The sequence below is a fragment of the Homo sapiens genome, chromosome 4 (assembly GCF_000001405.40).
Source record: "Homo sapiens chromosome 4, GRCh38.p14 Primary Assembly".
Lineage (NCBI taxonomy): Eukaryota > Metazoa > Chordata > Mammalia > Primates > Hominidae > Homo > Homo sapiens.
In genome coordinates, this window is record NC_000004.12 from 159,696,043 (window position 1) to 159,721,133 (window position 25,091).

Here is a 25,091-nt window from a genome sequence, read left to right on the forward strand (position 1 = left end):
TTTCAAGATTTAGAGCTCCTTTTCGCAGTTCTTGTAGTGCTTGCTTGGTAGTGGCATGTTCTCTCAGCAGTTATTTGTCTGAAAAAAACTTCAACTTTTTTTTTTCCATTTATGAAGCTTAGTTTCACTGGATACAAAGTTCTTGGCTGATAAATATTTTGTTTAAGGAGGCTAAAAATAGGACTCCAATCCCTTCTAGATTGTAGGGTTTCTGCTGATAAATCTGCTGTTAACAGATTTTCCTTTATAGGTTACCTGATGCTTCTGCCTCACAGCTCTTAAGATTCTTTCCTTTGCCTTGACTTTAGATAACCTGATAACTACATGTCTAGGTGTTGATCTTTTGCTGATGAATTTCCCAGGTGTTCTTTGAGCTTCTTGTATTTGGATGTCTAGCTGTCTAGCAAGGATGGGGAAGTCTTCCTTGATTATTTTGTCAAATAAGTTTTCCAAACTTTTAGATTTATCTTCTTCCTCAGGAACACCAATTATTCTTAGGTCTGGTCATTTACATAATCTTAAACTTCATGAAAGCTTTGTTCATTTTAAAAAATTATTTTGTCTTTGTCTTTGTCAGACTGGGTTAATTCAAAAGCCTTGTCTTTGAGCTCTGAAATTCTTTCTTCTATTTGTTCAATTCTATTGTTGAAAATTTCCAGTGTGTTTTGCATTATTCTAAGTGTGTCTTTCATTTCCAGAAGTTGTGATTGTTTTTTATTTATGATATCTATTTCTCTGGGGATATTTAAAATCCATATCCTGTTTTTTTTCCTTTTAATTTCTTTGAGTTGGTTTTCACCTTTCTCTGGTGCCTCCTTGAGTAGCTTGACTGTTGACCTTCTGAATTTCTTTTTCTGCAATTCGGAGATTTCTTGGTTTGGTTTCATTGCTGGTTAGCTAATGTGGTCTTTTAGAAGTGTTATAGAATCTTGTTTTGTGATATTACCAGAATTGTTTTTCTGGTTCCTTCTCATTCGTGTAGACTATGTAAGAGGAAAGATTTGGGACTCAAAAACTGCTGATTAGATTCTTTTGTCCCATGGGATGACCTCTTGATGTGGTGCTCTCCTGCTTCTCCTAGGGATGGGGCTTCCTGAGAGCTGAACCGTAGTAATTGTTATTGCTCTTCTGGGTCTAGCTACCCAGTGGAGCTACTGGGCTCTGGCCTGGCACTTCGGAATGTCTGCAAAGTGATGTGATCCTTCTTCAGGTCTCTCAGCCATGGATACAAAAACCTGCTCCAGTGGAGGTAACAGGGGGAGTGAAGTGGACTCTGTGAGAGTCCTTGGTTGCAGTGTTGTTTAGTGTGCTGGTTTTCTTGAATGCTGGTTATCCTAGCAGTAAAGTTGTCATGTGGACAGACTCAGGGCCTCTTGTCAGCCAGGATATTATAGGCGGTGGAATTTGCTGTTGTTTTCTCCTTCCTTGGAGCAGGGTTGTTCTGTTACGTGTTGCCGTAATGACTTGAGTTGGTTGGCCTCTAGCCAGGAGGTGTCACTTTCAAGAGAGTATTAGCTGTGGTTGTATAGAGGGTGTACGAGCTTGCCCTAAGGTTGCCTGAATAAGTATTCATCTTTCTCAGGTGATGGGTAGGGCCACAGAGCTCCCACAAGTTTATGTCCTTTGTTTTTGGCTGCCAGGGTGGGTAGGAAAAGACCATTAGGTGGGGTGGAGGCGGTTAGGTGTGTCTGAGCTCAGACTCCTTGGGTGGCCTTGTTGTGGTCACTGTGGGGCATGGGGTGGTTCTCATACCAACGGAGTTGTGTTCCAAGGGGGATTATAGCTTCCTCTGCTGCTTCATACAGGTCATCAGGGAAGGTGGGGGAAAGCAGGCAGTAACAGGCCTCTCTCAGCTCCTACACAGCCAGTAAGGCCAGTCTCACTTCTGCCATGCTCCCCTAATAGCTAACAGAGCTAAATTTATATCCAGGCCTCCAGTGCACAGGGCTGAGATCTTGTCCCAGGCTATAAGCCTCCCTGTTGAGAAAGCAAGCAGGGTTTTGAGGCCTTGCTCCTCTCTGCCTGCCATGGCTTCTGTGTTCATATTTGCACTTCCTGTTTGTGCCCTGACCCCTGGCTTCTGCCCTAGAAAATTCATGCTAGGTCAAAATTATTATAAAGTTTAGCTGGAAGTCTTCTTCTCCCTGTGGACCTTCTTTAATTCCATTGGCTGCCCTCCCCAAGGACTCCTGTGAGATGAAGTCAGAAATGGCTTCCTGGGGAACAGGAGTGCCTACAGGGTTCTTCCTCCTGCTTCTTCTACTTTTATATTTCACTTGGCTCTCTAAATTTGTTTCAGCTCTAGGTAAGTTTAATTCTTTCTCCTGTGATCTGGATTTTCAGGTTCCCCTGTGAGGATGCGTGTTCGAAGGTGAACTGTCCCCTTCTCACACTTTCGGCAGTCACAGTTTTTTTTTTTCCAGCTGTTTCACAGAGTTTGCAGTGGCAAGCCACTTCTTTCAATGGGTCTGTGAATTCTTTTGGTTTTCCTAGTACATTCCTGTGGTGATTCTTGGAGCATAAATTTATGATGTGAGTCTCTACACACTGTTCTGTCTATCTGAGTGGGAGCTGCAAGTTAGTCTTGCCTCCTATTTGCTATTTTTTTTTCCAATCCTCAATACCATTTCTTGAAGAGATTGTTCTTTTCCCATTGTGTTCTTTGCAGCATTGTTGAAAATCAATTAGCTATAAGTGCATGGGTTTATTTCTGGGCTTTCTAACCTGTTTTATTGGTTGATGTGTCTGTTTTTATACACATAGCATTCTGGTTTGACTATAATTGCTTTGTAGTATATTTTGAAATTAGAATGTGATGCCTCCAGCTTTTTTTTCTCAAGATTATTTTGGCTATTTGTAATCTTCTGTGGTTTCATGTGAACTTAAAAATGTTTTCTATTTCTGTGAAAAATGACATCAGAATTTTGATAAGCATTGCACTGAATATGTAGATATTGGTGGGAAGTATGGAAATTTTAACCATATTTATTCTTCCAATCCATAAACACAGATAGTTTTCCATTTTTCTGTGTTTTCTTTTTTTATCAGGTTTTATAATTTTTATTATACAGGTTTTTCACTTCCTTGATTAAATTTACATATAAATATTTTATATTTTTATTGCTATTATAAATTGAATTGTTTTTTAAATTTTCTTTTTCACATTGTTTATTATTAGCATATGGAAATGCTACTGATTTTCATATGTTGATTTCGTATTCTGCAACTTTACTGAATTCATTTCTCAGTTCTAACAGTATTTTGGTGGAGTCTTTAGGGGTTTCTATATAGAAAATCATGTGATCAGCAAATAGAAACAATTTCACTTCTTTTTTCCTATTAGGATGCTTTTTATTTCTTTTACTTTCCTAATTGCTCTGGCTAGGACTTTCAGTACTATGTTGAAAAGAAGTAAGAGCGGGCATCATTGTCTTGTCCTAATCTTAGAGGAAAGGTTTTCAACTTTTCATCATGGAATATGATGTTAGCTATAGGTTTGGCATATATAACCTTTTTTTGTACTTCTTCTATACCTAATCTGTTGAGCAGTTTTGTCATGAAAGTATGTTGCATTTTTTCAAATTTTTTTTTTTGCATTCATTGAGATGATCATATGGTTTTTAGCCTTCATTTTGTTAATGTGGTATATTACAAAGATTGATATGCATATGTTGAAACATCCTTGTATCATACAGATAAATTCCACTTGATCATGGTGAATAACTATTTTAATGTGCTATTATATTTGGTTTGCTAATATTTGTTTATCTTGTTGAGGATTTTTGCATTTATGTTCATCAGAATATCGGTTTGTAGTTTTCCTTTATTGTAGTGTCCTTGTCTGGCTTTGCTTATCAGGGTAACGTTGGCCTCCTAAAATGAGTTTGGAAGCATTCCTTCTACTTTGATTTTTTGGAAACGTTTAAGAAGAATTGCAATTAGTTCTTTTTTAAATAATTGGTAGAATTTAGCAGCGAAACCATACAGTCCAGGGATTTCCTTTGATGATAGGCTTTTTATTACTGATTCAATCTTCTCACTTCTTATTGGTCCATTCAGATTTTCTATTTCTTTATGATTCAGGCTTGGTATTTTGTATGTGCCTAGGATTTATCTGGTTCTTGTAGATTATCCAATTTGTTGGCAAATAATTTTTTATAGTATTTTCTTATGATTCTTAGTATTTCTGTGGTATCAGTTGTGATATTTCCTTTTTCATTATAGATTTTATTTATTTGAGTATTCTCTTTTTTCCTACTTAGTCTAGCTAAGGATCTGTCAGTTTTGTTTATCTTTTAAAAAACCAACTCTTAGTTTTGTTGATTTTTTTTTCCTATTGTTTTTCTAGTCTCTGTTTCTTCCTCTTGGATCTTTGTTTTTCTTTCCTTCTGCCAACTTTGGGTTTCATTTATTCTTCTTTTTCTTAGCTCTTTAAGGTGTAATTTAGAGTCTATTTTGTCCGATATAAGTATAGCTATCCTTGCTCTCTTCTGGTTCCAATTTTTGTGGAATATCTTTTTCTATCCCTTCATTTTCAGTCTATGTTTGTACTTACTTGTACAATGAGACTCTTGTAGGTAGAGTATGGTTGGATCTTGCTTTTTAAGTTCATTCAGACACTCTTTCTTTTTTTTGGAGAATTTAACCCATTTACATTCAAGATAATTATTTATAGGTAATGGTTTGGTACTGTCATTTTGTAATTTGTTCATTGGTGGTTTTGTAGATCCTTTGTTTCTTTCTTTTTCTCTTGCTGTCTTTCTTTGTGTTTTGATAGTTTTCTATGGTAGTATGCTTTGCATCTTTTTTTTAATTTTGTGCTGCTACTATAACTTTTTGTTTTGTGGTTACTACAGTGCTTATATAAAATATCTTATCCTTATAATAGGCTATTTTAAGCTGATAGCAACTTAATTACATAGAAGAATTCTATATTCACTACCTCTTCACCACCTTTTATAATTTTGATGTCAATATTTACATTTATAATTTGTATCTCTTAAGAATTTATTGCTGCTATAGTTCTTTTATAGTTTCTTCTTTTAACATTTATAGTAGAGATGAAGCAGATTTTTCAGTAGAAACACTGCACGACCCTTCCAGTATTAGAGAATTCTCCATATGACTATGTATTACTTATACCATTGACATTGAGTTTTTAATTTTTACATGTTTTGTGTAATTAATTATCAGCCTTTCATTTCAGCTTGAAGTACTCCTTTTAGCAATTCCTATAAATCAAGTCTAGTAGTGATGAAATCACTTAGCTTTTGCTTGTCTGGAGAAGTTTCTATTTCTTATTCATTTCTGAACAGCTTTGCCCGGTAAGTATTCTAGGTTGACAGATTTTTTTCTTCAGCATCTTGAATATATTTTTCTACTCTCCCCTGGCCTGCAGAGTTTCTACTGAAAAATCTGCTGAAGCCATTTTAGATTCTCCTGATTTTGATATGTTTCTCATCTCTCCTTGCTTTCAGTATTCTTTCTTTGTCTTTGATTTTTGATTTCATTATGATGTGTCTGGTTAATATTTTTGGGGTTAAATTTTAGTGGAACCTCTGAGATTCCTTTATCTGAATGTTTTTGTTTTTTCCCAGATTTGTAAAACTGTCAGCTATTATTTTCTTTAATAGGCTTTCTGGGCCCTTTTTCTGTCTGTTCTCTTGGAACTACTATTATGCCAAGGTTCAATATCTTGATGATGTCCCATAATTCCCATAGACCTTTTCAATTGTTTTCATTCCTTTGCTTGGATAATTTAATATGTCTTATTGTTGAGCTCACTGATTCTTTCTTCTACTTGATCAAGTCTGCTATTGAAGCTTTATATTGACTTTCTCGGTTTAGTTATTGTATTCATTATTGCTACAATTTTTTCTTACAGTTTCTATTTCTTTGTCAAAGTTCTCAGTTTGTTTGTGAACTGTTTTCCACATTTTAATTTTCTATCCATCTTTTTTATCCATATTATAGTTCCCTGAACTTCTTTAAGAGGATTAGCTTGAATTCTTTGTCAGTCATTTCTTATATCTTCATCTTTTGAGGGTCCATTATTGGAGCTTAATTTCTTTGGGTGGTGTCATATTTCTCTGATTTTTCATAATATGTCTCTGCATTGGTGCCTGCACGTTGAGGAAATGACCATGTCTTCCAGCCTTTGCAGGTATTCTTTGGTGGTGATCAACTTTCAGAATTTTGTCTAGTCTGGGATTCTGGGCCTAGCTGTTGTGACCTAGAACAGGCAGATTTTGATGTTGGGTCCTTTAGCTGGGCTGGGCTGCTCCCTGTGCTCAGAGGTCAAATGGGTGTGCCGGGAGTGCCTTGTGGTCCAGTGAGACAACTGGCTGAACTCTGTGGTTAGGTGGAGTTGCTGGCTAGGTCTGCAGTTACCTCTGATCAGGCAGGGTTGAAGGCTGTCTTCCCTGACTGGGCAGTACTATTGTTTGGAATCTGTAGTTTGACAGGGTTGTGTGCTGGGGTCTGAGGTTGAGTGAGGTCTCTGGATTCTCCGCTCTGCCATTTGGGGTGAGCAGGGTCAGACACTGTGCTCCATAGATAGGCATGGACTTGAGCTTGCCTCCTGGTTTAGGGTAGCCTTAAGCAGAACACAACAGCTTTTTTGGGTCACTGTCTGGCTGCTGGGGTTAAGCAGGGCCATATTCTCCCTCTGTGGATAATCTCTGATCTACTTTTGCCTCCTCTCTGAGGAGGCTCAAGGAGAACACCAAGGCTTGGTTGGATCACCGCTCAGCACTGGAACTGGGTGGGACAGGATGCTTCTCCATGGATTATCACCAATGTGCATTTGTCTTCCAGACTGAAAATGCTTAAAGAGAGCACTAGGTCTGGGTTGGGAAGCTGCCTAAGGAATCAAGCCTGGCACAACATATGCAGCATACTTTAACATATTTATATTAAAATACAATTACATGTTTGATTTTTCTACAGACCTTTAGGTAGAGATATTTTCTCATTTCCCACATTTCAGAGTGCATTACAATCCACTAGAACTCAGGGTTGAATAGGGAAGGCACTTTGTCCTTTTTCCCCGGAGCATGTATGTTTTTAGTAACTATGGTGCAATGAATCAATGTATGAATGAATAAATTCCTGAGGCTAAACAGTCAATGAATACCCAAACTGGAAGTTAAACCTAGATCTGATTTCAGAGCCTGTGAACTTCAATTATATCATGCTACTCTCTTAAATTAAAAAAAAAACTGTAGAAAGTATATTTAAGAAACACATTATCATGATGAAGAGATAAAAATATTCCAAGCAGAAAGATAATTTAGTTTATATCACATTGATTATGGAGCATATTCTCAGGTAGCACTGTTAGTAGGTAAGCATACATTTAATGTAAAAGAAAATAATTTTACAATGGATTGCACTGGATGATCCATAGGTCTCTCCTATTCTTGTCTTTGGTGCTGAGATTGATGCATTCTTGGTTTCTTTTGTTAGCTTTTTATAGCTCTGGAATTTGTTGAATTCAAATGAGTTTTGATTTCTAAAACCTTTTTAACTGTTTGGAAAAAATGGCACTGTACAAAAGTTTATACACTGTGTTGGACTGGAAAAAAATTGAGGCCAGCATTTGAAGATCTAGTCATATAGAATAAAAGTATCATAAACTAGTTATCAATTTGCCATTTGATATAACATAGACTTTTAAAGCTATTTCACAGTAAGATGAGAATAGAGCCTGATTAAGATAGAATGGTTAACATATGCTTATGAAAGATTTCCTAGTCCTCACAATAGTAACCTTCACTAATGACATTACTTGTACTAATTAATATGTCTGTAAGTCTGGTTTAACTTAGATGAAGGCACTGGGATAAACTTACACCTTCAAACTCCACACTGAATAATTGACTACATGGTCAAAATAAAACAAGACAAAAATTCTAATAAGAGCAACACATGCCTCCAGAAAATAAAAACAAGAAACAGCACTTTTTTGAAGCTTTTGTATATCTCTCATAAAGCGTCTGATATACAGAAAATAATTATTGATGGAATGAAACATAATTAACACAGTTTTTGGGAAACATCTGAAAACCACTTGAATACATGATTTTTTTTTAACAGTTTATGAAGAATAAATTACATTGATTATTATGTGTACATGGAGGTAATTGTCTTTAAATCATGTATAACATGGTACATTTTATTACTACCAATTTGCATTTATGATATAATTGATTTGTTAACTTGCAAAATTTTTATTCAGTAAAATTTTTATTCTAAATACTTATAGAAGTTTTGAACATTATATGTTAAGAAATATTGGAAGCTAAATATATCTGTGCATGCTAATAAAAATCACATTTTACAAAGGTTATTAAAACTCATGAAAATTTTAAAAATTGATATTGGTGTTTATTTAAATCAATAAACTACATTCAATCTGGTCTTGAACTATTATAACACTTTTCTGTCATAAAATTGCTCATTAATTTCTTCTGTCAGAAATCAGTAATTTTGAGTAGTAATGTTTCTTGTAAGTTTTTCATTTTTTCTTTATGTAAATAATTAGCAGAAATTTCAACTTTAAATTATCTTGGATTTTAATATTCTTATAGACACTGCTACTTTAGGCTAAGATTTTCCTTGTCAAGGTACAATTATTCTACAACTCAACAGGGATATTCTAGTGATAAGTCACCATCCAGTATGTAAATGTGTTTTAGTGCTTAAATAGGAGGCAGCTGTTTGAATTATCTTCCACTAAATGTCTGATTTCTCTTCAAAGATAAGTGCCAGGGAACACACATCACCACTACTAAGTGAGGTGCGGTATGTGCTCCATGTATCCAGGACAGAAACACTCTTTCTCTCATTTCTTATAATCACAATTTTTGCCATAGTAATTGATACTGAATATCCTAAAGGATTCTGGCAGAGGACTAAGATAACCTTCAATAGAACATCTGGTACATGTGGATTGTGTTTGCTAATATAGATTTTATTATCATTGATACATCAAACATTAGCCGAAGTAGGACTTACGCCAGTATCAGAACATTAATATAAGACCTGTTTTACTGTTATGTTTCAGTCTCTTTCGATTTAAATATATATTGAATTTATATAAATTGGTTTTATGACAGTTAATCTAAATATTAGAAACAAGGTTTCCCGAGACTAAGGAAATATCATTAAAAACACATTAAGCATTCTTTGAGGACCTGAATTGAAAAGTTCCATTTAGGAATATGCTCTAAAGTGGAGAATAATGGGGCAGGCTTAACCCTAAATGAGAGGGGTAAGTTTAAATGTAAATTTATTAATGCTTCTGTCTTTAGGTAAACTATGAAAATAAAAAGCAATATGAGGACTCTTTTTTTTTTTTTTTTTTCAGATGAGGGAGATCTAAGGGAAGAGGGATTTTTTTGTTCTTTAGACCCTCTCCTGGGAAATCCAACTAATTCAATTTGAAGGCTGCTAAAGCACACATGCTGATTAGTATAAGAGATTTAGAAGTCCAGATGATTAACAGTCCTTTTTTATTGAAAGACATTCAAAGGAAAACTTCTTGGCAGTCTTTTACAACCTAGGGGAACAATATAGGGGAGAGGTGACAGCTACTGAAACTTTGCTTCAAAAGGCTGGCACTTGGATTCCTTTGCTTGACATTGTTAAAACATGACACTGCCATTTAATTTGTTTTTTTCTTAAATTATAATCCATTTAGTTTTTATTTCTTAATTAAAAATAACCATTCTCTTTTAAGCTTTTTAAAAACCTATTTATCATTTCTGCTTTTATTCTTTTGAACAAAGTTCACTCTTCCTCTCCTGGTCCCCTCCCCAGTTATCAAAGTACTATCCTCAGGGTTGAATATCAGAGAGAAAAAAAAGAAAATAATGTTGACCTATTAATATTTCTATCTCCAGAGAATATGATTGGCTGTTCACAAGTTAGTATATGCCTTTTAAAAGAAAATCTATCCTACAGATAGATTTTTTTAATCATATTTTTTTATCATAACATTATACCAAAAATCTTCTCATGGTATTTTCAACACACCAGACATTATATGTCTATATATTTATATTTTTATTTCTATAATATTCTAAACTGTGGATGTGCCTTTACATTAGGCTACTTAAGTTTGCTTTATGATTTTGGTATTTAGTCATTGTTTTCTTTTGTATGTAGTAAATTGGGTGCTCTTATTTTATTGCAATTTTATGTTATTTTCAAAAACATTTAAAAATTGTCAAAGAAAATTTTAAACCATCCATGTGGTTCATTTTGAGGCCTCAATTTTGAAAACTATAATTTTAGGTGAGCAAATATTGTACACATGGCTCTCCTTTAATAACCTTATTAATCATGTGTTCTCTCTAAGATTACCCATTGAAACCTCTTTTGTATGGAGTTAGACTTTTGGCTGTCATGTCAATATATTTTTACTCTCCGTAAGAACAGTCAGCCTACAGATTATGCCATGGAAACAGATTGATTGGCTATAATATATCTTATTCAGTTGTTGAAGAAAGATTTAGAATTATGACTGGTCTTCCAAAAATGTTTCAGGGTCATAACTGATCCTTATGAAATGCATGAGACTAGGTATTGACTAGTCAACCGACAAGCTATTTGAAAAAGCTACTTGTTAATTTTAATCAAACTAGTAAGCCAGAAAAAAATATTTTCTTTCTTTAATCAGAAAAATGATTTATACTACAAAAATACTTCACTAATTCAAGTGCATTGATATGTGACATTGTGAAATATCAAGTTGCTTGTCTAAGCCTATGCATGGCCTGTACCAAAGGCAGAACCCTGCCTGCAGGCTTAACCTGATGATTGATGCACACTCCTGCAGGAACAGCAGTAAAGCCTTTGCTCACAGCAGCCAGTGGGAACTGATCATGTGCAGTGCAGCAACCCAGTTTAAATTGGCCTACTTCACACTGATAGTGTCACTATGGGAACTATCCTCACAGACCCACTAGAGACCTGGGGTCACTATGGGAACTATCCTCACAGACCCACTAGAGATCTGGGGGCTTTTCTTCTAGTGACTAATATCCCTCATCTGATATTTTGCTAGATGGAATTCTAAATAGGGAACTTCTTTACATCAGGCTAAGCAGGTCCAATGTCTAAGGCAGAAACTAGAACACATAATATGTCCCAAATATTTACGGAACAAACACTGATCTATCAAAGTGCTTTCAGAATTTCAAAATACATGGATTTTAGAAAATAATTTTTTTATTGTTAAAGATTTATGTTCCTGTCCACTTAAGACATATTGTTAAAAAATTAGTAAGAGGTAAGTATGCATTGCCAAGTTAATCTTTGGTAATGTTAGGGAGATAGGTTTTAAGCATTTGAACACACAAAATTTGTTTCTATGTTTTTTTCATTTTGTTCCACAAGGAGTTAATGATGGTAGGCTGGGAGGCTTGTGTCTTCCTTTTAGTGGCGCACAGATTACGTAGAAATGTGCTATTCAAAGTATAACCTGTGGACCCACATTTGCATCTCCACAAATGGCTTGTTACAGTCTGCAGAAATATAAGTAGAGAGACTTATAAGAACCAGTGAATAGAAACATTTTATAGCAATTTGATATTGTCAAAACACCCTACTATTCTTGTAGACCCATTTTTATGAACGTGATATAGACCAACAATATCAATCAATATAAAAATGAATTGGAAATAAAAAAACAAAACTGGTTATTCACCACAAGATGGTTTGAGAAGCAATTACATAGTGCATAGATTCTAGATATTTGACTTCAGTGTGATGGCCTTCTCTACTTTGTATCGTCTCTGTGCCTGATATTTTGATTGATTATTTCTGGAGACCTGAATGAAAGAGTTGCTAATGACACTAGTCAAGGTTTACTCATAAATCATATATATTGGAAAGATTTTCCTCCTCCTCTATGAGTCCATCTTTTAATAATCATGGCCAACTCCAAGAAGAAAGTACCTGACCACATTCATTCAAATATGTAATATGAAGTCAAGTGAATCTTTCAGCTAGTTCATTGAAAAGTTTGCACATGACTGCTTGATGCTGATCTATGTTCAACCCTAAGGTATATGCTTCTTTTTTTTTGCTAACTTATTTGTGCGTGAGTGGTATATTTGTCTGGGTTTGTTGGCGTATGTTTGTTTGGGTGAGTTTTGATGGCAGTGGGTTTAGAGGGATTTGTTAATAGCATGAGCATTTCTCATGACAAACTACCTGATTATATTACTTTCCTCATTGTGATATTGGAAGTCAGACTATGGTCTCGATTAATTAACAATAACAAAAACTATGGAGGCAAAGTATCACAATATTATGGTTACATAAATATAGTAGATGCTTATAATCTGAGGGGTGGGATGGAGTTGGCGTCTTTTGGAGTACCCTGTAAGCAAAGGGAGAAATATGCTTGTGTTCACTTAGAGGCTCAGTTGTGTTCTAGTGAGAAGGGGTTTCTGATGTGCCACCTGCCCTGGGAGTTGGTTACTCTTCAGTTCCCTTATTCTACATATTTGGCAGTACTGGGTCTTTATTTTGGCCTGGAGAGAAAACTGTTGGTATTAGTGCTTAGAAATTCAGTCTTAATAAGTATGCAACAGAATGACAAGCATGTTGTGTACCATTCACATTACAGGCATCTACCAGCAACCAAGGTGAGAAAATCCATTCACATCTGCTCCTCTGGAGAAGCAAAGTTGTCCAGACCAGAATTTTTGCATCCCTGAGCAGATTCTTTGTTTAACTCATGTTCTCTTAAGCACCATATGCTTCTCTCCCTTATACCCAGGGGAAAATTTATCAAAAGCTAAAAACTCCATACTTCAGTGACAGCTTAAATAAATATCATCCTTTAAGAATATCTAAATGTAATGACTTTATGAAAACATTCCATAAAGAACTCAAATCTCTCACTTGCGATAAACAATTCATGCAAAATAGTATTTAAAGGAAACCCAAATACTCCACCCCATTTTAATAACCTTTCATAGAATACCGTTTTCTGTGATCTCATATACATTAACTAATTAGATTTGCCTCTACTTATTTTTCCAGTGTAATCAGGATTCTATTTCAGAAGAGTCATAAGATGGATCCCTTAGGAGGCAGACTCAGAGATGGAGATTAGCGTGTAGGAAATGCATTAGGGAGTACTCTTGAAATCCAAACAATGGAAGGGAAGGAAGTAGGAATAGGCAGAGGGAGAGATTGATACGTGATGTAGTTGCAACAGGAGCCTCAGCCGACATCATAGGATGGGCTTTCAGATTCCTCCTAGGTTAAGGCGAGGGGGTGGGCCTTTGCAGCGCTGTGTTGATCAGTTTTTGGATATGAACTACCCTGAGAAGAGGACATGACCTTGGGGAAGGAGACATTTTGGGCAGGGCACTTCGTAAAAAGGGCTGATAGCTGAAGGCTGTGTCCTGGCAGCACTTCTAGCACTTGGGAGAATAATTTCTTTTTCTTTTTATTTTTTTATTTTTTATTTATTTATTTATTTATTTATTATACTTTAAGTTTTAGGGTACATGTGCACATTGTGCAGGTTAGTTACATACGTATACATGTGCCATGCTGGTGTGCTGCACCCACTAACTCGTCATCTAGCATTAGGTATATCTCCCAATGCTATCCCTCCCCCCTCCCCCCACCCCACAACAGTCCCCAGAGTGTGATGTTCCCCTTCCTGTGTCCATGTGATCTCATTGTTCAATTCCCACCTATGAGTGAGAATATGTGGAGTTTGGTTTTTTGTTCTTGCGATAGTTTACTGAGAATGATGATTTCCAATTTCATCCATGTCCCTACAGAGGACATGAACTCATCATTTCTTATGGCTGCATAGTATTCCATGGTGTATATGTGCCACATTTTCTTAATCCAGTCTATCATTGTTGGACATTTGGGTTGGTTCCAAGTCTTTGCTATTGTGAATAATGCCGCAATAAACATACATGTGCATGTGTCTTTATAGCAGCATGATTTATAGTCCTTTGGGTATATACCCAGTAATGGGATGGCTGGGTCAAATGGTATTTCTAGTTCTAGATCGCTGAGGAATGGCCACACTGACTTCCACAATGGTTGAACTAGTTTACAGTCCCACCAACAGTGTAAAAGTGTTCCTATTTCTCCACATCCTCTCCAGCACCTGTTGTTTCCTGACTTTTTAATGATTGCCATTCTAACTGGTGTGACATGGTATCTCATTGTGGTTTTGATTTGCATTTCTCTGATGGCCAGTGATGGTGAGCATTTTTTCATGTGTTTTTTGGCTGCATAAATGTCTTCTTTTGAGAGGTGTCAGTTCATGTCCTTTGCCCACTTTTTGATGGGGTTGTTTGTTTTTTTCTTGTAAATTTGTTTGAGTTCATTGTAGATTCTGGATATTAGCCCTTTGTCCAATGAGTAGGTTGCAAAAATTTTCCCCCATTCTGTAGGTTGCCTGTTCACTCTGATGGTGGTTTCTTTTGCTGTGCAGAAGCTCTTTAGTTTAATTAGATCCCATTAGTCAATTTTGTCTTTTGTTGCCATTGCTTTTGGTGTTTTAGACATGAAGTCCTTGCCCGTGCCTATGTCCTGAATGGTAATGCCTAGGTTTTCTTCTAGGGTTTTTATGGTTTTAGGTCTAACGTTTAAGTCTTTCATCCATCTTGAATTGATTTTTGTATAAGGTGTAAGGAAGGGATCCAGTTTCAGCTTTCTACATATGGCTAGCCAGTTTTCCCAGCACCATTTATTAAATAGGGAATCCTTTCCCCATTGCTTGTTTTTTTCAGGTTTGTCAAAGATCAGATAGTTGTAGATATGCGGCGTTTTTTCTGAGGGCTCTGTTCTGTTCCATTGATCTATATCTCTGTTTTGGTACCAGTGCCATGCTGTTTTGGTTACTGTAGCCTTGTAGAATAGTTTGAAGTCAGGTAGTGTGATGCCTCCAGCTTTGTTCTTTTGGCTTAGGATTGACTTGGCGATGCGGGCTCTTTTCTGGTTCCATATGAACTTTAAAGTAGTTTTTTCCAATTCTGTGAAGAAAGGCATTGGTAGCTTGATGGGGATGGCATTGAATCTATAAATTACCTTGGGCAGTATGGCCATTTTCACAATATTGATTCTTTCTACCCATGAGCATGGAATGTTCTTCCATTTGTTTGTATCCTCTTTTATTTCCTTGAGCAGTGGTTTGTAGTTCTCCTTGAAGAGGTCCTTCACATCCCTTGTAAGTTGGATTCCTAGGTATTTTATTCTCTTTGAAGCAATTGTGAATGGGAGTTCACTCATGATTTGGCTCTCTGTTTGTTGTTGGTGTATAGGAATGCTTGTGATTTTTGCACATTGATTTTGTATCCTGAGACTTTGCTGAAGTTGCTTATCAGCTTAAGGAGATTTTGGGCTGAGACAATGGGGTTTTCTAGATACACAATCATGTCATCTGCAAACAGGGACAATTTGACTTCCTCTTTTCCTAATTGAATACCCTTTATTTCCTTCTCCTGCCTAATTGCCCTGGCCAGAACTTCCAACACTATGTTGAATAGGAGTGGTGAGAGAGGGCATCCCTGTCTTGTGCCAGTTTTTAAAGGGAATGCTTCCAGTTTTTGCCCATTCAGCATGATATTGGCTGTGGGTTTGTCATAGATAGCTCTTATTATTTTGAAATATGTCCCATCAATACCTAATTTATTGAGAGTTTTTAGCATGAAGGGTTGTTGAATTTTGTCAAAGGCCTTTTCTGCATCTATTGAGATAATCATGTGGTTTTTGTCTTTGGCTCTGTTTATATGCTGGATTACATTTATTGATTTGCGTATATTGAACCAGCCTTGCATCCCAGGGATGAAGCCCATTTGATCATGGTGGATAAGCTTTTTGATGTGCTGCTGGATTTGGTTTGCCAGTATTTTATTGAGGAATTTTGCATCAATGTTCATCAAGGATATTGGTCTAAAATTCTCTTTTTTGGTTGTGTCTATGCCAGGCTTTGGTATCAGGATGATGCCGGCCTCATAAAATGAGTTAGGGAGGATTCCCTCTTTTTCTATTGATTGGAATAATTTCAGAGGGAATGGTACCAGCTCCTCCTTGTACCTCTGGTAGAATTCGGCTGTGAATCCATCTGGTCCTGGACTTTTTTTGGTTGGTAAGCTATTGATTATTGCCACAATTTCAGATCCTGTTATTGGTCTATTCAGAGATTCAACTTCTTCCTGATTTAGTCTTGGGTGGGTGTATGTATCAAGGAATTTATCCATTTCTTCTAGATTTTCTAGTTTATTTGCATAGAGGTGTTTGTAGTATTCTCTGATGGTAGTTTGTATTTCTGTGGGATCGGTGGTGATATCCCCTTTATCATTTTTTATTGCGTCTATTTGATTCTTCTCTCTTTTTTTCTTTATTAGTCTTGCTAGCAGTCTATCTATTTTGTTGATCCTTTCAAAAAACCAGCTCCTGGATTCATTAATTTTTTGAAGGGTTTTTGTGTCTCTATTTCCTTCAGTTCTGCTCTGATTTTAGTTATTTCTTGCCTTCTGCTAGCTTTTGAATGTGTTTGCTCTTGCTTTTCTAGTTCTTTTAATTGTGATGTTAGGGTGTCAATTTTGGATCTTTCCTGCTTTCTCTGGTGGGCATTTAGTGCTATAAATTTCCCTCTACACACTGCTTTGAATGTGTCCCAGAGATTCTGGTATGTTGTGTCTTTGTTCTCATTGGTTTCAAAGAACATCTTTATTTCTGCCTTCATTTTGTAATGTACCCAGTAGTCATTCAGGAGCAGGTTGTTCAGTTTCCATGTAGTTGAGCGGTTTTGACTGAGTTTCTTAATCCTGAGTTCTAGTTTGATTGCACTGTGGTCTGAGAGACAGTTTGTTATAATTTCTGTTCTTTCACATTTGCTGAGGAGAGCTTTACTTCCAAGTATGTGGTCAATTTTGGAATAGGTGTGGTGTGGTGCTGAAAAAAATGTATATTCTGTTGATTTGGGGTGGAGAGTTCTGTAGATGTCTGTTAGGTCCGCTTGGTGCAGAGCTGAGTTCAATTCCTGGGTATCCTTGTGGACTTTCTGTCTCGTTGATCTGTCTAATGTTGACAGTGGGGTGTTAAATTCTCCCATTATTATTGTGTGGGAGTCTAAGTGTCTTTGTAGGTCACTCAGGACTTGCTTTATGAATCTGGGTGCTCCTGTATTGGGTGCATATATATTTAGGATAGTTAGCTCTTCTTGTTGAATTGATCCCTTTACCATTATGTAATGGCCTTCTTTGTCTCTTTTGATCTTTGTTGGTTTAAAGTCTGTTTTGTCAGAGACTAGGCTTGCAACCCCTGCCTTTTTTTGTTTTCCATTTGCTTGGTAGATCTTCCTCCATCCTTTTATTTCGAGCCTATGTGTGTCTCTGCATGTGAGATGGGTTTCCTGAATACAGCACACTGATGGGTCTTGACTCTTTATCCAATTTGCCAGTCTGTGTCTTTTAATTGGAGCATTTAGTCCATTTACATTTAAAGTTAATAGTGTTATGTGTGAATTTTATCCTGTCATTATGATGTTAGCTGGTGATTTTGCTCGTTAGTTGATGCAGTTTCTTCCTAGTCTCGATGGTCTTTACATTTCGGCATGATTTTGCAGTGGCTGGTACCGGTTGTTCCTTTCCATGTTTAGCACTTCCTTCAGGAGCTCTTTTAGGGCAGGCCTGGTGGTGACAAAATCGCTCAGCATTTGCTTGTCTGTAAAGTATTTTATTTCTCCTTCACTTATGAAGCTTAGTTTGGCTGGATATGAAGTTCTGGGTTGAAAATTCTTTTCTTTAAGAATGTTGAATATCGGCCCCCACTCTCTTCTGGCTTGTAGGGTTTCTGCCGAGAGATCCATTGTTAGTCCGATGGGCTTCCCTTTGTGGGTAACCTGACCTTTCTCTCTGGCTGCCCTTAACATTTTTTCCTGCATTTCAACTTTGGTGAATCTGACAATTATGTGTCTTGGAGTTGCTCTTCTCGAGGAGTATCTTTGTGGCATTCTCTGTATTTCCTGAATCTGAACGTTGGCCTGCCTTGCTAGATTGGGGAAATTCTCCTGGATAATATCCTGCAGAGTGTTTTCCAACTTCGTTCCATTCTCCCCATCACTTTCAGGTACACCAATCAGACGTAGATTTGGTTTTTTCACATAGTCCCATATTTCTTGGAGGCTTTGCTCGTTTCTTTTTATTCTTTTTTCTCTAAACTTCCCTTCTCGCTTCATTTCATTCATTTCATCTTCCATCGCTGATACCCGTTCTTCCAGTTGATTGCATCGGCTCCTGAGGCTTCTGCATTCTTCATGTAGTTCTCGAGCCTTGGCTTTCAGCTCCATCAGCTCCTTTAAGCACTTCTCTGCATTGGTTATTCTAGTTATACATCCTTCTAAATTTTTTTCAAAGTTTTCAACTTCTTTGCCTTTGGTTTGAATGTCCTCCCGTAGCTCAGAGTAATTTGATCATCTGAAGCCTTCTTCTCTCAGCTCGTCAAAGTCATTCTCCATCCAGCTTTGTTCCGTTGCTGGTGAGGAGCTGCATTCCTTTGGAGGAGGAGAGGCGCTCTGATTTTTAGAGTTTCCAGTTTTTCTGTTCTGTTTTTTCCCCATCTTTGTGGTTTTATCTACTTTTGATCTTTGATGATGGTGATGTACAGATGGATTTTTGGTGTGGATGCCCTTTCTGTTTGTTAGTTTTCCTTCTAACAGACAGGACCCTCAGCTGCAGGTCTGTTGGAGTACCCTGCAGTGTGAGGTGTCAGTGTGCCCCTGCTGGAGGGTGCCTCCCAGTTAGGCTGCTCGGGGGTCAGGGGTCAGGGACCCACTTGAGGGGGCAGTCTGCCTGTTCTCAGATCTCCAGCTGTGTACTGGGAGAACCACTGCTCTCTTCAAAGCTGTCAGACAGGGACATTTAAGTCTGCAGAGGTTACTGCTGTCTTTTTGTTTGTCTGTGCCCTGCCCCCAGAGGTGGAGCCTACAGAGGCAGGCAGGCCTCCTTGAGCTGTGGTGGGCTCCACCCAGTTTGAGCTTCCCTGCTGCTTTGTTTACCTAAGCAAGCCTGGGCAATGGCGGGCGCCCCTCCCCCAGCCTCGCTGCTGCCTTGCAGTTTGATCTCAGACTGCCGTGCTAGCAATCAGTGAGACTCCGTGGGCGTAGGACCCTCTGAGCCAGGTGCGGGATATAATCTCGTGGTGCGCCGTTTTTTAAGCCCGTCGGAAAAGTGCCGTATTTGGGTGGGAGTGACCCGATTCTCCAGGTGCTGTCCGTCACCCCTTTCTTTGATTAGGAAAGGGAACTCCCTGACCCGTTGCACTTCCCGAGTGAGGCAATGCCTGGCCCTGCTCCGGCTCGCGCATGGTGCGCGCACCCACTGACCTACGCCCACTGTCTGGCACTCCCTAGTGAGATGAACCCTGTACCGCAGATGGAAATGCAGAAATCACCCGTCTTCTGCGTCGCTCAGGCTGGGAGCTGTAGACCGGAGCTGTTCCTATTCGGCCATCTTGGCTTCTCCAGAATAATTTCTTTTAGTCTTAATGGGGGGTCTGGGCCATGGATCGCAGTGTTATGGGCTGAATTGTGTTTGCCCAAAATTCATATGTTCAAGTCCTCATCCCCAGTTTTTTAGAATGTAACTGTATTTGTAGGTAAGGTCTTTAAAGGGGTTAGTTAGGTTAAAATGAGATCCTTAGGGTGGGCCCTATCCAATATGACTCGTGTCCTTATAAAAAGAAGAAATTTGGACATATAGAGAGCCATTAGAAGAATGTGTATACAGAGAGATGACCACGTAAAGACACAGTAAAAAAGCACCCATTGGCTGGGCAAGGTGGCTCACGCCTGTAATCCCAGCACTTTGGGATGATGAGGTGGGCAGATTGCCTGAGCTCAGGAGCTCAAGATTGGCCTGGGCAACACAGTGAAACCCTGTCTCTACTAAAATACAAAAAATTAGCTGGGCATGGCAGCGTGTGCCTGTAGTCCTAGCTACTTGGGAGGCTGAGGCAGAATTGCTTGAACCTAGGAGGCAGAGGTTGCAGTGAGAATTGCTTGAACCTGGAGTGCAGAGATTGCGCCACTGCACTCCAGCCTGGGCGACAGAGTGAGACTCCGCCTCAAAAAAAAAAAGAAAAAGAAAGCAGCCATCTGCAAATCCGGTAGCGAGGCCTCAGAAGGAACCAAACCTGCACATGCATGATGTTGGACCCTGACCTCCAGAACTGTGAGAAAATAAATTTCTGTTGTCTAAGCTACGCAGTCTGTGGTCTTTTGTTGTGGTAGCTCTAGCAGCGTGCACTAGATGCAGCTACCTAGGAAACATTCATCTTTTACAATAAACTTGGTTTTGTCATTATGCGTTCTGAGATTCACACTCTCCTTTTGTGGCTTGTTCTAAGTATCAGGAGAAACCTAGCTAGCAGTATGCTCTCTTATCTTTATAGTAGTTAGGTTTGTTCTATGGTGGCTTTCTATATCTGACTCAAATTGTGTCATCATCCAATCATTTATTCAACTCTTGAAGTATAAGATCAGCATTTAATTTGGAATCAAAAATCTGAATTTATCACTTAAAAAAAAGAGCTATGTTTGTTAGGCACACTATCTCCAAACAAAGAAGAGTGTTGATCTTACATAGGGCTGTTGGGAGGCATGGCGTTCAGGTATTGATGAAGATTCACTGGCAGGAATGGGTTAACTCAGCTGGAGATGCTTGGTCACTGGGGTGGGGATATTTTTGAGGGGCTGAATTTCAGAGGCATGTTTGCTGAAATGAGGCTGTGGTTGATTGGCTGGCTTTATAAAGAAGAGGGATGCCACTGATGGGCTGGCTTTTGGAAGCATGTTCATTGACGTGAGTAGTATTTGATGGAACAAAATAAATTCTAGTTCTGGTAGTTACTTTTTACCATGACTATGAAACAATCAGTTTTTTGCTAGGACTATGGAAATAGTGACTTGCAAATAGTAGGTGTCAATAAATATTTGCTGAATTAATTGAAAAGTGAAAGATACTAAATAGGCTATTAAATATATGAGTCTAGATTTTACTGAGGAGTCTGGGTCTTCAGGAGTCACCACCATCGAGTTGGGATTTAAAGCCTGATTCTGGACAAGATCACCTTGGGTGTGCGAATAGAAGAAAGAAGTCTGAGAACTAATCCTTGGGGTTTTGCAAAGTTTGCAAACTTTGTATGCGTTGACATCGTAGTTTACTATCAAATAGTCTAAAAATAAAAAAATTAAGGTATAAAATGAATCAGCATGTAAACTAATTGCTTCTGTCAAATTGTTATGTTTGGGTTGAGTTCCTCTTGACCATCCTCCATCTCAAATTGCTAAGCACAAAGAACTGAGAAAACTGATGGCTGGATTCAGTGACCTCTTTTGAGCCATGAGATAAAACAGAGTGAATAAGAAAAATCAGCAAGTTTGTTTCTACCATCTTTTCCCCATATTGGAAAATCAATGTAAAGTTGTTTTAAAGAAAGTATTCTTGAGAATGATGATTTCCAATTTCATCCACGTCCCTACAAAGGACAGGAAATCATCATTCTCAGTAAACTATCGCAAGAACAAAAAACCAAACACCGCATGTTCTCACTCATAGGTGGGAATTGAAAAATGAGAACACATGGACACAGGAAGGGGAACATCACACTATGGGGACTGTTGTGGGGTGGGGGGAAGGGGGAGGGATAGCATTAGGAGATATACCTAATGCTAAATGACGAGTTAATGGGTGCAGCACACCAGCATGGCACATGTATACATATGTAACTAACCTGCACATTGTGCACATGTACCCTAAAACTTAAAGTATAATAATAATAATAATAAAAAAAGAAAGTATTCTTTCCAGAGAGCAGAGATTTCAGAAGAATAGTGTTAGCACAATATCCTTTCCCTCCGTGAATATGAGGGGCAACTTTCAACTCTTTCTGTTCCAAAGAAATGCACGAAGATAATCTCTCTTCTTAGACTAGGGGTCTTGCAAAGGCAGGTGCTCACTGTGTAGGCCTTCCTCATTGATCCTTTCAGAACTGTAGCATGGCACAGTTTGGAGAATGTGCCTAGAAATAGCCTGAGTCCACACCAACAGGTAGAGCAAGGATAGATAAGTTTTCCCTGGAGTCCAGAGTGAGCCATGGAAGTAGAAGAGGCAGGGCATATTGTCATCCCAGCAGACTAAGAGAATGAAAAAAAAAAAAATCACTCTTTATGGCATACCTGGTGACCAATAGCTAGACTGAAAGGAAGGAAGTGGCACTGCCTCAATTGTGTGACCCATCCCAGGATGCTGTGCAATTGAGTATCACACTAGAAAGTCAAGAATAGGCCGCCAGCACCAGACAACAAACCGGATAAGTATACTAGTGGCCACAGGCAGCAAAGAAGTGAAGGCAGCACAAAGCAAGCACATAATAACTCCATTACCAAGGTGCAGGGGGTCACAAGGAAGATGCTTTACTCTCTTGCTGGTAGTGCCAGTAAATACATGAAGGCAAGCAGCCCCCTAGTAGTTTAGGGTTAGATAGGAGAAAGGAGGAAGCACAAGATCCAGAGTTTGTTAGGCCTTGGGATGTAAAGCAAAGATAAGATGAAATGATCTTGACAGAGACACAAAATTGACCAGGGTGAAGAATGTTATGAGACAATGCTTAGAATGATTAGGCTTTGCTCTTTTCTTTTTGACATTAAAACAGTGCTTGACATATAGTAAGCGCTCAATACATATTTTCACATTTGTAAATAGCTGTTTAAGACATCCAGAGGCATCAGAATTGATCTGAGAATCAGAAACAATGTTCAGGTTGTTTTTTAGGCTTTTCAAGCCCACTCCAGAAACAACACATTTGAAAAGGAAACTGTGATTAGCAAGACATGGGTTCTGTTAAGAGAAGAAAGATTCTTAAGAACCAAAGGAGGCCCTGGTGGAAGCAGGGCCCTGAATTCATGTCATTGCATGAGCTTTAAGAGAGAATAGGGGCAAGGTCAAAGTCACTTCTGCTGGAAGCAGGGTTCAGAGGAAATGGGCTATGATGCTGGAGAGCTCAATGGTATCTGGTATAAGGCATGTGACTTTAGGGGAGTGGTTCCTGATTGGAGAAACTGCCGAATATTATAGGTTACCAGCACCAGGGGAGCAAACAAATGTCTGTCTGATTTCATATTAGTGAACACTGCATGCTGCAACTGCTGAGCAGTCCCTTCAGCTGACTTACCCATTGAAGTGTGTTGCCTTGGCTCTCAGGTGAAGCTTTTATGTTGTCCATGAATTATCTAATAGAGGGGATGCATTTGCTCTATCCACACTCCCCATGCTATCTTCCTTTTTCCAATGACCAACCCACACTGCAAAATAGAAAGTAAGGACTAAGAGATGCAGACTGGATATGGTCTTGTGGAAGGAAAGTTCTCAGCACCAGCTCTTTTGTGGGACTGGAGTGGGGATACCCATCTCCACTACGTATTATTAATTTCTATTTTATCTAGAGATGCTGTTTCTTATCTGCCACCACTTCCCATCTCCACTATCAAAATCTTGCCAGTCTTTCAAATCATCATAAAGTCATCTCTTCTGTGAAAACCCAATTATCTGCTTTTCTTTCATCCCATTCCTTTTGTGAATTCCTGCACTGGTACTAGTTTAAGCAAAGAATGGAATTTGTTGGCTCCATATCCAAGCCAGCAGATGCACAGGAATAGAGACAGATTTTTGGAATGACTGCAACCCACAGTACTAATGCTGCCATAAGCTTTATTCTGCATTTATTATTATTACTGCTTTTCATTGTGAGTAGTATCAATTCTTCCATGCCAGTTCTTTTTGTGAGGAAGAAATTGAAGCTAACAAAAGACACTTGGCTTTATTTTTTCAGCTTCACCATCAGAGAAAAACTGACTCTCTTTCCTTGATTCCAGGAAGGACTTGGTATACTGGTTTGGGTTGTTTGTGAGCCGTGTGGCTACGGAGTGAGGATGGTGATTGGCAGTCTCAAACATAAAACAGGAAAGAACACCTAAGGAATCTTGATGTTTTTCCTAAAAAAGATAGGCCTACTATACACATCAAACCTAGCTAAATTAACTACAGGGGGTAAATTGAGTAGTAATGTAGTGACTAGAAAATTTTATCATATTTCACGTCACCCTATTATAATAACACTTGCATATCTGATTGTTTGTGTTATGTTACAAACATAAGGAGAGTGTATTAGATTAAGAATAGAAAGAGATATCAGAACTTCTGTAATTTAGCAATTTATCCTTGTATCTCAAGCCCCAGCACCAAACATGATAAGACAACCTATATTTTCTATTTAACAAGTTAACATACCTATTACATATCTAGACATTTAAATTATTTATGCATCACATAGTGAATAAAATGAGCCACCTGATTTCACCAGAAATTAGTTAATTCAATCGTGCATCACAAACAATGGGGATATGTTCTGAAAAATGCATCTTTAGGCGATTTCATCATTGTTTGAACATCACAGAAGGTACTTACACAAACATAGATGGTATAGCCTGTGATACGGTTTGGCTGTGTCCCCACCCAAATCTCATGTTGAATTGTAGCTCCCATAATTCCCACGTGTCAAGGGAGGGACCCAGTGGGATGTAATTGAATCATGGAGGAGGGTCTTTCCTGTGCTGTTCTCATGATAGTGAATAAGTCTCATGAGATCTGATGGTTTTATAAAGGGGAGTTCCCCTACACAAGCTCTCTTGCCTGCCACCATGTAAGATGTGACTTTGCTCCTCATTTGCCTTCATCGATGATTATGAGGCCTCCCCAGCCATGTGGAACTGTGAGTCCATTAAACCTCTTTCCTTTATAAATTACCCAGTCTCAGGTATGTTTTTATTAGCAGCATGAGAACAGACTAATACAGCCTACTATACACTTAGGCTAAATGGTATAGTTAGCCTATTGCTCCTAGGCTATAAAGCTATATAGCATGTCACTGTACTGAACACTGTGGGCAATTATAACACAATGGGAAGTATTTGTGTACCTAAACATATAAAAAGCACAGTAAAAATAAAAAATGGTACCCCCATATAGGGCACTTAC

At 38.2% G+C, this 25,091-nt stretch overlaps 2 long non-coding RNA genes across 3 annotated transcripts in view, besides 3 other annotated features; one reads left to right on the forward strand and one right to left on the reverse strand.

Annotated features, from left to right (window-relative positions):
* LOC107986324 (uncharacterized) overlaps positions 1-25,091 on the forward strand; it is a 487,144-nt gene that overhangs the window by 155,720 nt on the left and 306,333 nt on the right. The window lies entirely within an intron of this gene.
* The window catches only part of LINC02233 (long intergenic non-protein coding RNA 2233), a 111,282-nt gene that overhangs the window by 29,540 nt on the left and 56,651 nt on the right, over positions 1-25,091 (reverse strand). The window lies entirely within an intron of this gene.
* Positions 1,831-2,330: an enhancer, noted in NCBI's record as "H3K27ac hESC enhancer chr4:160619025-160619524 (GRCh37/hg19 assembly coordinates)". NCBI's record gives its function as "activates a minimal SCP1, AML or CMV promoter by ChIP-STARR-seq in primed H9 embryonic stem cells {active_cell/tissue: H9 hESC(primed)}" and the evidence as "EXISTENCE:reporter gene assay evidence [ECO:0000049][PMID:30033119]".
* Positions 18,418-19,111: an enhancer, noted in NCBI's record as "H3K4me1 hESC enhancer chr4:160635612-160636305 (GRCh37/hg19 assembly coordinates)". NCBI's record gives its function as "activates a minimal SCP1, AML or CMV promoter by ChIP-STARR-seq in naive H9 embryonic stem cells {active_cell/tissue: H9 hESC(naive)}" and the evidence as "EXISTENCE:reporter gene assay evidence [ECO:0000049][PMID:30033119]".
* Positions 19,112-19,804: an enhancer, noted in NCBI's record as "H3K4me1 hESC enhancer chr4:160636306-160636998 (GRCh37/hg19 assembly coordinates)". NCBI's record gives its function as "activates a minimal SCP1, AML or CMV promoter by ChIP-STARR-seq in primed H9 embryonic stem cells {active_cell/tissue: H9 hESC(primed)}" and the evidence as "EXISTENCE:reporter gene assay evidence [ECO:0000049][PMID:30033119]".